The 14,265-nt window shown below is 47.0% G+C and overlaps 2 pseudogenes, besides 1 other annotated feature; both read right to left on the reverse strand.

Annotated features, from left to right (window-relative positions):
- SIGLEC25P (sialic acid binding Ig like lectin 25, pseudogene) lies at positions 1,688 to 2,162 on the reverse strand (annotated as a pseudogene).
- Positions 3,576 to 4,324: an enhancer, noted in NCBI's record as "H3K27ac-H3K4me1 hESC enhancer chr19:51966471-51967219 (GRCh37/hg19 assembly coordinates)". NCBI's record gives its function as "activates a minimal SCP1, AML or CMV promoter by ChIP-STARR-seq in naive H9 embryonic stem cells {active_cell/tissue: H9 hESC(naive)}" and the evidence as "EXISTENCE:reporter gene assay evidence [ECO:0000049][PMID:30033119]".
- Positions 9,008 to 9,889, reverse strand: SIGLEC26P (sialic acid binding Ig like lectin 26, pseudogene; annotated as a pseudogene).

Below are 14,265 nucleotides of genomic sequence, written 5' to 3' on the forward strand. Positions count from 1 at the left end.
GGTTCAAGCGATTCTCCTGCCTCAGCCTCCCAAGTAGCTAGGATTACAGGCATACGCCACCACATCCAGCTAATTTTTGTATTTTTAGTAGAGCCGGGGTTTCACCATGTCGACCAGGATGGTCTGGATCTCCTGACCTCATGATCCACCCACCTCAGCCTCCCAAAGTGCTGGGATTACAGGTGTGAGCCACCGTGCCTGGCCTCAACAGATTATTTTAAACTGTGTGGCTGGGGGCTGGGAAGAAGTTAAGGGGGATCCTGGGAGGCGGAGCCTCCTTAGACTCAGGTCAATTTTCTTGAAACATTTTTTGGGGGGTAAATATAAGAAATATAGATAAAAACAACCCCCAAAGAAGACCTCAGTGATTTACATACAACGAGCCCCCTCCTAGAAATGGCACATTGACAAAGTCCCCAGCGCTGCTCATTTGTTTCTCCTTCTTATTGGCCACACCCCACTCCCTCCCAAACGATCCCCTAGCCTCACTTTGGTGCAAATTGCCTCAATGCTTTTCTATATAGTTTTATTATCTGAGCAGGCTGCATTTACTAAGCTTTTGCACGTTTTTCTGAAGACTTTGTATACACAGAAAATCAAACTCTACTTTCTTCCACTCAGCTTCATGGATCTGCCCGTCTCCTATCTTCCCCTCATTACTTATAACCTGGAGTAGATCATTCGGCTGTGATAATTGAGAAGGGAAGGTGCAGGGCTTGGGTGTGCATAGCCGACTCCCACCCCCATCACCAATGCTTGCATTTGTAGCTGGTATCTCATTCTGCAGCCATTTCCCCCTCCTGGGCCTCCTATCCTTGCCCAGTAGAGACAGCTGCAGTATCTCAATAGTCAGAAGGGCCGAGCCATGGCACAGGTCTTTTCCATGGTCCCCAAGTGGTAATTGAAGCCTTCAGTGAAGACTCCTGTGCAGGCCTTGCTCTCCAGCAACTTAGCCAGGCTGGAACTACAATTCCCAGAATCCCCTTCCCTGTTTGCTTCCTGGACAAAGTTCACCACAAGGGAAGGGGGAAGTTGGAGCAGCAGCCCTGAGGGGTCCGTGTAGGGGCAGGAGCTGTTGCAGCTCTCACATATTGACGCTGACCACTGGCCCATCTCATAGGGAGACACGATAGCCGCTCACTTGTTCACCTGCTGGACGGCAAGGAGGGCGTGTGGGACACCACGGGCTATGCCTTAGGGAGCAGAGAATCATTGAATCCTGACATGGGGATTGGTGACCCACATGGACACAGGTGGCCCAGAGAGACACATACAGTGACAGGCAAGGGATCCATAAAATGGCATCCCAAATAGTTCTCTCATCCTAAGACGATGTCCCAGGGTCTCTTTGACCTGACAACTAGCGCCATTCACCTTTTCAGGGGAGACCCAGCTTCCCAGGGCAAAGGGAAGGACACAGCGCATCTCAGTACCCAGAATGCCCAATGCTTGGGTGTGTGTGTGTGTGTGTGTGTGTGTGTGTGTGTGTGTGTGATTGAGAGAGAGAGAGAGACAGAGAGAGAGAGACCCTGTGTGTGAGGGAGAGGGAGTGTCTGTGTGTACCTGTGTGTTTCTGTGTATGAGCTGAGCACTGCCTCCTTGGGCAGTGTGACAGTTAATTTGATGTGTCAGCTTCACTGCCCTGGGAACCCCCATTCGTGTGTCCTTTCATAACCTCATTCCTTACCCTTCACATGCACATAGAGCATTTCTGTAATTACATTCACATAGATCTCCCTTTTCTCCCTAAAGAGGTCTGTCCCTGCATCTCGCCTCTGTGTGTCTCTGACGTCCAGAAAGCAGGTGCTGGCCTGGGGTCTGAAGCAGGTGGAATTGGCTCTGGGTCTCCTCCTGCTCTTTTCCAACTAGATTGCTTCCAGCCACTTGAGGATCCTGATGGAAATGTCCCCTTTCTGGGACAGTAGCCTTGGACAGGGCTGGAGTCAGACAGGTACCCACAGGGGTGGAAGATGGAGCAGTGCGTAGTCACAGAAACCCTCCTGCACCTGCACCAACTCTGGGGCTTCCTGCCGGGATCTCATATCCTGAGCCAGATCCCCTGTGGGGAAATGAGGGTCAGCCCAGCCCAGCCCCATGGTTCCTCTCCCTGAGGCCCATTCTCCTGCCCACAGCAGGGGCAGCAGCTATTGCAGCGTGAGCTTCTTTAGGGTGAGCCTTGGTGTCGCAGGGCCCTAGAAGGGCCCCACAGGAAGCCTGGGGGTAAGATCAGAAAAATAACTGACCACAAAAGAGGACCTTGGCCCCGACACTGCCAGAGCTGTCAGGGCTCCTGGGGAGTGGCCATTTCTACTCTCCGGATGGGTCTTCAGTGTGGGCCACACACAGCAGGGAGGCCCCGACCCACAGCTGCAGGCTCTCTGCCCACAGCCTTTCCCTCCCACAGCACTGTCCACACCAGGGAAGCAGGCACTGCCTGTCCATTACAGCTTCTAGGTGCTCGGGAGGGTCAGTCCTGCCAGAGCTGGGACTCAGGAGGGGCTGGCGGAGGAACCACGAGGCATGAGAGATGGGGAGGGGTCCCCCGAGGCGGGAGAGGTGATGTTTAATGAATGAGCACAATCACCACATCAGGAGCATCTCCTCCTTTCAGGGGGATGGAGGCAAAGGGGAGAGTGTGACAGACTCTGTCTCCTTCCTTGGGAAGTTCCCTAATGAACGAGGGGGCAGAGGAGCCCTGGGCCACCCCAGCTCCTGTTAGTAAGGGCTGTGATGCTTGAAACACAGGCAGGGCTTGTGGAACCCCGAGGGCCCTGTGCAGCTAGAAGGTGCGGTCTCAGGTATACTCGGGCAGAGTGGACGGGACCAGGACTCTGAGGTGCTGTGAGCATGCGGCCCCACAGGTGGTCCCCAGCCTTCCTAACCTTCTCAGTGCCCCCTGCCCAGCATGCCTGGTGGTGACTGCACAGCCGAGGCCCTGTGAGCCCAGCATGGGGAGCAAGGCTGAGCCCAAGATGCTAGGGGAGGCCCTGGCTCTGGAGTGTGAGGGTCCTGGGCCCTCTCCCTCCAAGTCTCAGTCTCCTCATCTGTCCCCTGGAGGGATCACAGCACCCACCCCTCAGCCTGAGGGAGAACCCAGCTCGAGGAGGCGACGTTCTCTGCAGACTCAGGCATGGCCAACATGCTCTGTGTCCCTGGGCAGGCCCGAAGCATCCACGTGTCTGGCCCTAACCATTCTCAGGGGTCACTCGGAGTCCTGCCCTCAGTAAGGAGCTCCTGGTGGTCCACACTGCTCTGGGGCTTCCTCAGCTGAGGCCTCACAGAGAGAGTTCAGGGGTACAGGCTCTGTAGCTGGATGGCTGCTGGCTTGAGCTGGGCTCTGTAAAACCCACGGTGCTGTCTTGGGAGGGGGCTTACCTGCACTGTGCATCGTCGGATGTCAACACTTACGGGGTGTCAGGGATGAACTGTGTCCCCTACAAATTCCTATGCTGAAGTCCTAACCCCCAGCACCTCAGAAAGTGACCATATTTGGAGACGAGGACTTATAAAAAGGTGACTAAGTTAAAATGAAGTTGTTAGCTCTCATCCTACATGAGCTGTGTCTTTATTAGAAGGGGTGATTAGGGGTGGAGTGTGGTGGCTCAGGCCTGTAATCCCAGCACTTCCGGAGACCGACACGGGCAGATGACTTGAGGTCAGGAGTTGGAGACCAGCTTGACCAGCATGGTGAAACCCCGTCTCTACTAAAAATACAAAAATTATCCAGACGTGGTGGCATGTGCCTGTAATCCCAGCTACTCCAGATGCTGAGGCGGAAGAATTGCTTGAACCCGGGAGACGGTGGCTGCCGTGAGCCAAAATGGTGCCACTGCACTCCAGCCTGGGCGACAGAGTGAGGCTCTGTCTCAAAAAAAAAAAAAAAAAAAAAAAAAAGGTGTGATTAGGACAGCGACATACTCGGGAGAAAGACCACGTGGGACACAGGGAGAAGATGCCACCCGCAAGCCACCGAGAGGCCTCAGAAGGAAGCAACGCTGACCACAGCTTGGTCTCAGACTTCCAGCCTCCAGAAGGGTGGGAAAACAAAGGCGTTGGTGAAGCCACTCGGTCTGTGTTCCTTTCTCAAGGCGGCCCTGGCAAGAGAGTCCATGGAGTGGTCGAGAGGATTCGATGTGTTCCTGTGAGCACAGCCCGGTGTGGACCGCGGTGGATGCAGAGTCCCACAGGGGTCTGGGACAGCCTGTAACATGGGATGCTCAGAGGATGGAAGGAGAAAAGGGAAGGGAAGGGCTCCTCACCAGAGGAAACCTGTGCTGCTGCCGCCCTGTCTCTGACATCTGCAGGGCTGCCCCCTCCACCCACACTCTCCCTCCCTCCCCAGGACCGGGCAGGGCTCTCAGCCGCAGCCCCTCGCTGCCCCTGCACCCTGGGCAGTTGCCTCCCATCTATGGGGCGGAGCCGCCTGGGCGTCTGGGCTGGGCGAGGCGGAGCCTGGAGGGGCACCGGCCACGGGCAGGGGAGACAGAGGCGGGCACAGCCTGGCGGGGTCCGGGCTGAGCCAGCGGGGAGGACGGGGCTGTGGGAGCCCAGCGGAGAGGGTGAGGATCCGCGGGCAGGTGGGACAGGTGAGCTGGGAGGTGAGAGATGGGCAGGGCTGCCTGAAAGGCAAGTTCATCCCAGAGCAGCGAGCAGGGCGCAGCCAAAGGCCGTGGGGGAAACAGCGGCGAGAAAAAAACGGCCAAAATTCTGCCCGCAGTGCGCCTGTATCCTAGTGCGGCGGCCACAAAAATATTGTTGAGTAGCAAGAAGTGTTTCGAAAGTGTGCAGTGGGTAAAGTGTGAGAAAATAAAGCCGATTTCATCGAGAAAAAGAGAGACAGAGAGAGAAAGGGCCCATATCAACCCAAAGTCATTACTCTTCATCACGATTATATTGCATTTTTCCCATCTACTACAGCGTTAACTTCATATAAACTTTATGAAGACATACCTTACGTATAATAAAAAGCACACATTGTAAGCATACAGTTAAATTAGTTTTGGCAAATGTAAACACCCTGTAACTATGTCCTCAATCAAGATAGGGAATCTTTTTTTCATCCCTCCAAGCTTTCTTATTTTCTTTCTTTTCTTTTTTTTTTTTTTTTTTTTTTTGAGACGGAGTCTCGCTCTGTCGCCCAGGCTGGAGTGCAGTGGCGCGATCTCGGCTCACTGCCAGCTCTGCCTCCCGGGTTCACGCCATTCTCCTGCCTCAGCCTCCCGAGTAGCTGGGACTACAGGCGCCCGCCACCACGCCTGGCTAATTTTTGTATTTTTTAGTAGAGACGGGGTTTCACCTTGTTAGCCAGGATGGTCTCGATCTCCTGACCTCGTGATCCACCCGCCTCGGCCTCCCAAAGTGGTGGGATTACAGGCGTGAGCCACCGCGCCTGGCGCTTTCTTATTTTCTATCCCAGTCAGTGTTTCACTTGCAGCCATCACTTACGTGATTCTCATCACTATCTATTAGTTTTTTCTATTCTGGAGCTTCATATAAATTGACTCACACAATATTTATGTATCTGGCTTCTATCAGTTTGTTAAAGACGTGTATACGTTAAATGTATATGCACCCAATAACAGAGCATCGTTTATCAAAATGTCAAGTATCTTACCTGACTATAGTTGAAAACAACTCAAAACCAGTAACAAGAGGAACATTAGAAACTACACAAATATATTAAAATTAAACGACATGCTTCTGAACAACCAATGAGTGAAGAACAAAGCTAAAATTGAAATTTAAAAATTCATTGAACAAATTAAAATAGAAACACAACATGCCAAAAACTATAGGACAGAGAAAATTAAGTATTAAGAGGTAAGTTTATAGCAATAAATGTTTACAGGAAAGACTAGAAAGATTTCAAATAAACAACAATGCATCTCAAGAAACTAGAAAAGCAAGAACAAAGCAAACCCAAAATTAGTAGAAAAAAAGAAATAATAGGGCCGGGCGCGGTGGCTCATGCCTGTAATCCCAGCACTTTGGGAGGCTGAGGAGGGTAGATCACCTGAGGTCGGGAGTTTGAGACCAGCCTGACCAACTTGGAGAAACCCCACCTCTACTAAAAATACAGAATTAGCTGGGTGTGGTGGCGCATACCTGTAATCCCAACTACTCGGGAGACTGAGGCAGGAGAATTGCTTAAACCCAGGAGGCAGAGGTTGCGGTGAGCCAAGATTGCACCATGACACTTTAGCCTGGGCAACAAGAGCAAAACTCTGTCTCACAAAAAAAAAAAAAAAGAAAAGAAAGAAAGAAATAATAAAGAACAGAGCACAAATCAAATTGAGACAAAATAATACAAAAGATCAACAAAACACGAAGTTGGATTTTTTAAAAGGTAAACAAAACCAACAAGCCATCAGCTAGAGTAACTAGGAAAAAAAGAGGGAAGACGAAAATAAATAAAATCAGAAATGAAAAAGATGTCACAACGGATACCACAGAAATACAAAAGATCATGAAAGAATATATGAACTATATGCCAATAAATTTGAAGACCTAGAAGAAACTGATAAATTCCTCGACATATAGAATCTGCTAAGATTGAAACAGGAAGAAACAGAAAACCTGAACATATCAATGACATGCAACAAGATTGAATCAGTAATAAACCTCCCAACAAAGAAAGAACAGGACTAGATGGCTTCCCTGCTGATTTCTAGTGAACATTTAAAGAATTAACATAAATTCTTCTCAAAATGTTCAAGAAAAATTGAAGCAGAGGGAACTTGTCCTATATCCTTCTGTGAGGCCAGCATAATCCTGATACCAAAAATAGACAAGGACACAACACAAAAGAAAAACTACGGGCAAATAACCCTGATAAATATAGACATAGAAATCTCCAAAAAAATACTAACAAACCAAATCCAGCAAAACACCAAAAAGATAATGTACCATAATCAAATGGGATTTATCCCAGGAATGTTAAGGATGGTTCAACATATGTAAATCAATAAACATGATACATTATGTCAACAGAATGAAGGACGAAACCTATAAGATCATCTCAATTGTTGTAGAAAATGGGTCTGATAAAATTCAACATTCTTTCATGATAAAATCTCTCAATAAATTAGTTATGAAAGTAAAGTAACTCAACCCCAAAAAGACCACATAGAAAAACCCATAGCTAACATCATAGTAAATGGAGTAGTGTAGGAAGCTTTTCCTCTAAGAAGTGGAACAAGACAAATATATCCACTCTCACCACTCTTATTCAACATAGTACTGAAAGTTCCAGCCAGTGCAATTACACAAGAGGAAAAACAAAAACCAAAACAACAAGGATCATCCGGATTTGGAAGGAGGAAGTCAAATTGTCTCTGTTTGCAGATAAACATGATCTTACCTATAGAAAAACCTAAAGACTACCAAAAAACTCTTAGCATTGATAAACGAATTCAGCAAATTTGCAGGATACAAAATCAACATACAAAAATGAGTAGTGTTGCTATACGCCAACAAAAAATTAGCTAATAAAGAAATCAAGAAAGCATCCCATTTACAATACCTATAAGCAATGAAATACTTAGGAACATGTTTAATCAAAGAGGTGAACGAGCTCTGCAAGGAAAGCTACAAAACACTGATGGAAGAAACTGAGCAGGATACAAACAAATGGAGTAGAATTAATATTGTTAAAATGACCATGCCATTCAAAGTAATCTACAGATTCAATGTGATCTCTATGAAAATATCAATGACATTCTTCACAGAAATAGAAAAAAGTCTTAAAATTTGTATGGAACTGCAAAAGACCTGAATATCCAAAGCAATCCTGAGCAAAAAGAACAAAGCTGGAGGCATCACACGATCAGACTTCAAAATATACCACAAAGCTGTGGCAACCCAGACGCATGATACTGGCATAAAAACCAGTACACAGGCAAATGGAACATAATAGAGAACCCATAAATTAATTCATGTTATCCACTGCCAACTGATTTTTACAAAAATGCCAAGAACACTCATTAGGGAAAGGACGGTTTCTTCAATATGGTGCTGGGAAAATTACCCATACGCAAAAGAATGAAACTACATCTCCACCTTTCACCCTACATACAAATCAGCTCATAATGGATCAAATAGCTAAATTAAAGAACCCAAACTCTAAAACTACTGTAAGAAAACACAGGGGCAATGCTTCAGGTCATTTGTCTAGGAAAAGATTTTATAAATAAGACCGCAAAAGCACAGGTAACAAAAGCAAAAATAAACAAATGACATTCTGTCAAACTACAACACTTCTGCACAGCGAAGGAATCAATCAACGGAGTGAAAAGGCAACCTACAAAATGGGAGAAAATATTTGCAAACTATTCATCTGTCAGGGGATTAATATCCAAACTATACAAGGAACTCAAACACCTCAACAGCCAAAACCCCCCTACAAACAATCCAGTAACAGCTGCATGTAGAGAGGTGCCCTCCTATCTGATCTATCTCCTAGGGAGACACTAGTTGTCAGGTTTTGTGGAACCTCTTGGACAGGAAGAGAGGACTTCCTTCAGTTGGAGGTGGGGAGGAGATAAGGGTAAGCATTTCCTCCTACTCCTCCTAGAAGCCGAAGGCATGCAGAAGGGACAGGGCTTGTGTCCTTCCTGTTCCCCTGCTCAGCCAGTCCTCCAGGATATCAAGTGTCCTCAGCTCCAGCTGTCCTGTCCCCACCACACCCTCAGGAACCCAGGCATCCTGGCCCAGCACTCATAGGAGACATTGAGCTGGATGGTTCTCTCTGCAGTCACACCAGCTCTGAGAAACTTCACCTGACAGGTCAGGTTGGTGCCATGGTCCTGGAGCCTTGAGGTGATTGTGAACGCCAAGGAATGGGTGGTCCTGGGGCTCAGAGAAGTGGGGGCAGCTGACATCCAGGAAATGATAAGGGGGTGTCTCCTGCTTATAGGCCCAGCGCACAGATCAGGTCAGGTTTCAGAGGTGGCTGGACTCTAGGGTCTCCAGGATGAGAATGTTGGGTATATGAGTCAGGGTTAGTGAGGAGATGGGGGGCATGCAGGATCAAAAGGGTAGGTCCAAGGTGAAGCCCTGGGGGAAGCTCAGGCTCTGGTCTAGCTCCTCCCCCAAACCCCCGGCATGCTTTATGCCCAACTCCCTCCCAGGACAGGGACCCCATCCCAGCCCTACCCTGCCCTGCAGCCCCTTTGACTTTCCCCTGTGGTCAGTCCTGGAGCTGGTTTCTTACCAGTCACACACAAAGAGAACTGGGGAGATTATAACCTGTATTTGGTACTTCCTCTCTCCACCTGAAAGAAATGTGAACCATTGTTCACCTCCTTCTGGCATCTATGATACTCTGGGAGCAGTTGTTCCTCTGGGGATTCCTGAAGAGGCAGAAAAGGCCCAGGGTCTCCTCCTTCATTTTTCAATTTGGGTTGTTTGTGGGCTCTGAAGTGTCCCAGAATTCCTTGCCTCCTTCCCGGAACCAGTAGTCATGAACAGAGTTATTCGTGTAGTAGGGTGGAGATAGGAGAATGAGCAAGGCATGAGGGTGCACAGACACTCCTGTACAGTCACAGACTCCTGCACTTCCAGCTAGAAAACTGCATCCTGAGCCAGGGCTCCAGTGGAGAAACGAGGGTCAGCTCAGTTCAGCCCCAGAGTCCCTCTCCCCATGGCCCACTCACCTATCCACTGCAGGGGCAGCAGCGTCTCTTAGGCAGAGGGTTCCTGGACTCCCTGTGTAATGAGAGAAGGGGAAGGGATTGGAGGGGAAGGTTTGAGGGCCCATTGGAGGCTGAGGAGAAGCAGGAGGACTTGGCGGTTCACAGAAGAAAAACCTCAGACCTACACGTGGTCAGAGCTCATCCCCTCTGCACAGAGCAGAGGGAGACTCCAGAGACCTCCCCAGAGGGGAGCAAATAAGGAGCAGAGATCTTATATTTCCTCTCATCTGAGAGCTTCCCTCCACCACCAGAGCCTGGACTAGGATCTCTGGGGACATCTGAGGCATGGGACACTCATGAGGGTCTAAGGTTCTCCCACCCTGAGGTGCTTTTTTGTGCACCACCGTTTATACCTGGGAACATGTCACTCCTGGTCTGGTCCCAGAGAGTCACAACCTCATCTAGAGTCATGAGGAAGTCAGTCCTGCAGGATGGAGGATTCTGTAGGTTCTGTGGGAGTGTCTGGGACAGTGAAAAGAAGAAGGGTCCTGGGTGCAGTGTGGGTGGTAGCCATTCACTCATTCATACATTCATTCATTCACCAAACACACAGTGAGCATCTGTGTGTCAGTGGGGCTGGAGAAAAGATGCCAGGGACCTGGTCCCCACCCTTGAGATGGCCCCCACCCATAGCCTCATGTCCTCACCATACACACACACACACACACACACACACACACTGGCTTTAGAGCTGTGGACACTGGTGAATTTGCCGTATGTCATGGTAGAATTCTAGGTGGTTTTTTTTGAGACTGAGTCTCGCTCTGTCGCTCATGCTGGAGTGCAGTGGTGCAATCTTAGCTCACTGCAACCTCTGCCTCCTGGGTTCAAGTGATTCTCCTGCCTCAGCCTCCTGAGTAGCTCCTGAGTAGCTGGGATTACAGGTGTCTGCCACCACACCCAGCTAATTTTTGTATTTTTTTTTAAGTAGAAATGGGGTTTCACCATGTTGGTCAGGCTCGTCTCGAACTCCTGACCTCATGATCCACCTGCCTCGGCCTACCAAAGTGCTGGGACCACAGGCATGAGCCACCACGCCCGGCCAATACTAGGTATTTTAAAAAAACTTGAGTACTGAATTTTTTTCCCTGACAACTGGTATGCTGATTTACAAAATTTGAATGACATCTTCAGAATAAGAACCATGCAGGATCTTCTTGTAAACCAAAAGGAAGGACACATATTCTATGGACTGCAGTGCAGAAGAAACTTCTTTTCCATGGATGTTGCCATTCTGTGTAGTGTGGACAGAAGTGATTTATTTGAGGTCCTCTTCATAGAGATTAGCATTTCCTTTCATGTAAAAATATGCTGCTCACAGTTAAATGAGGCTCATAAGACATAATATTTTCAGACAACATGAGTATACAGACAAAATTAAAATTTTAGGTTCCATTTTTCATGTTTATGGCTATTTGTATTTTTCTTTTCTTTTTTCTTTACTTTTTTTTTTTTTTTTTTTTTTGAGATGAAGTTTTGCTCTTGTTGCCCAGGCTGGAGTGCAATGGCACGATCTCGGCTCACCACAACCTCTGCATCCCAGGTTCAAGCAATTCTCCTGCCTCAGCCTCCTGAGTAGCTGGGATTACAAGCATGCGCCACCATGCCTGGCTAATTTTGTATTTTTAGTAGAGACAGGGTTTCTCCATGTTGGTCAGGCTGGTCTCGAACTCCCGACCTCAGGTGATCCGCCCACCTCGTCCTCCCAAAGTGCTAGGACTACAGGTGTGAGCCACCGCGTCCGGTCTCTATTTTTCTTTCATGAGTTGCTTGTTTGGGCATTGACATGCATTTATAATTGTCTTGTTGGAATTTAGTTTTTCTGGTGTTTCCTAATCCTCTTCCTCCCTCTTGTCTATGAAGAGTCTCAGACAATGTGGTCATGCTGTTCTCTTATCTGAGGATTTGGAAATTTGCCTCGCTAAATCATATGACACATATCTGACTATACCCGGGTGTGACCTTCCTGACAGTCACACAGTTAAATGTCCTGGCCAATACCTTTAAGTTTCAAAATAAATAAATAAATAAAAATCAAAATAAAAAACTTAATGGATAAAAAGCAATTTTAGGTTCAGCTACGTGATTTTCCATCTCACTCTGTATCGTATGCATCCAACGAACTCTTGAAATCTAGGACATAATACTATTTGGCACCATATATTAGTAAAATATTTATTACAGTATTATCTAGATAAATGCTCATTTGTCCTTATTAACATGGAGAGCTATTTGTATCTTCACTTACTATATAAATAATTGAGGTTTTAATAAGTAATATAATACCTTGTTGTAAGTTATTTTAAAGTTAAGAATATGGCTTGGATTCCTTGGATTCATTCACTCGGTGTAATGCATTTGAGACTCAGCTATGTGATTGGGTATATATATGAATAATTTGTTTTTGTTTTTAAATTGCTGACTCATACTTCATTGTTTTCCACAGATCCCCCATTTTGTATATATTCACTGTTTGACAGATACTCAGAATGTTTCCAGGTTTTGGTGAATATAATATAAAGCTAGTACAAATATTCCCATGCAGATTTCTGTGTGTGGACACTAGTTTTTTTTTCTCTTGCATAAATACCTAGGAGTTGGGTGCTTAGTCACATGTGTAAGTTATAAGAAATCGCAGCTGGGTGCGGTGGCTCACGCCTGTAATCCCAGAACTTTGGGAGGCTGAGGCGGGTGGATCATTTGAGGTCAGGAGTTCAAGACCAGCCTGGCCAACATGGCGAGACCCCATCTCTACTAAAAATACAAAAATTAGCTAGGTGTGGTGGGTGCCTGCTATCCCAGCTACTCAGGAGACTGAGGCAGGTGAATCGCTTGAAACTGGGAGACGGAGGCTGCAGTGAGCCGAGATCGTGCCACTGCACTTCAGCCTGGGCGACACAGTGAGACTCTGTCTAAAAAAAGAAAAAGAAAAAGAAATTGTCAAAGTGTTCTCCAAAGTGTGAGTGCCACTTCATATCCCCACCAGCAAAACATGTGAGTTCTGGTTGCTCTACATTCTCATTAATATTTGGTATTATCAGGAATGTGTAAAATTTATTTTTCTTTTGGTTTGGTTTTGTAGCCATTCTAATAGGTATGTACTGCCACCTCATTCTAGTTCTAATCCACGATTTCATAAGAGCAAATGGCGTTGGGAATGTTTCCATTCATGTGATTATTTGCCATGAGTTTTTCTTCTTTGATGAGGAGGCTGATCAAATCTTTAGTGCTTTTTAAAATCCGTCTTAAAATACACATAACAAAAATTACCATTTTAATCATTTTTCAGTGCACAGGTAAGTGGCATTAAGTACTTTCACACTCTTATGCAATTATCAACCATTGATCTCCAGAAATGTCTTCATCTTGCCAAATTGAAACTCTGTACCCACTGAAAGATAACTCCCTATTCCGTCCTGCTCCCAGCCCACGGCAGCCAACTTTCTACTTTCTGTCTATGAATTTGCCTATTCTAGATACCTCCTATAAGTGGAATCATACAGTATTGGTAACTTTTGTGACTGGCTAATTTCATGTGGCATAGTGTCTCCAAGCTTCATCTAAGTTGCAACACGTGTCAGAATCTCCTTCTTTTTAAGGTATTTCATTGTATGTATATAATATAGAGGCTTTTGACCAGTGTAGCTCATCCTGAATTATCGAGTTGATCCTTAAATCCAATCAGAAGTGTCTTGCTGGGAGAGGAACAGATGGAGATTTGATGTACACAGAAGGCGGCGGTGTCTGGGCAAACCCATCACCTCAAATGCATCTCACCACCAGGGGGAGCCATAGAGTTGTGCGATGCATCCACCCTAATCTTTGTACAACCTCCTGTGGATAGGAGTAAGAAGTGGATAGAGAGGGTGAGAGGCAGGAGCCTCCAGTCAGCTTCCAAAGATGGGAGTGAGATGGAAAATAACAAGAATGACATTAACAATAACAATAACATTACAAATAACATTAAGTTATAACAGCTACCTCTTGTGGCAAAAACCAGAGTAGGGGGCTGTGAGAAACCCACCTTATGTACAGCGCCTCAGAGATCCCAACTTAACATTTTTTGTGATCTCCAAGATAGATAGACAGGAAGGAGTGGCTGTTCATTAGCATTCGCTCTGGCTGTGCCAGGCAGAACTTTGCCCTGGGAGGGACTATGACGTTCTGCTCTCTTAATAAAAAGGTACAAAGCTGGGCTCCAGAAATAGACTGAGGGGCCTCTTGGGTCTGCTCCCCAGGCTGCTTCCTGTCCATAGGTGAGCAGTGGATGCTGCCACTCCTGACTGGAGAGACAGGGTTTCAGAAGAAATTCTCCAAGTTATGGGGGATCCCGGATGGGATGGGTCAGGTCTAGCTCTGGGGTCTGCTTAAGGGAATGAGAGTGAGTCTTTGAAGCTCAAGGCACCCTCCAAACCTGCACTCCTCTCCTAACAGCAGGGTCCTCATGAGGGTGTCGTTGCATGAGACAGTAAGGGTCATGCCATGGGCTCTGAATGAAACCAGTTCTGCCATCTTCATCCTGATTGTTCAGACTAGGCATCACTGACCATGCACAGTCTAGATGGAGGGAGGT

This window comes from Homo sapiens, chromosome 19, assembly GCF_000001405.40.
Source record: "Homo sapiens chromosome 19, GRCh38.p14 Primary Assembly".
In the NCBI taxonomy this organism is placed as follows: Eukaryota; Metazoa; Chordata; class Mammalia; order Primates; family Hominidae; genus Homo; species Homo sapiens.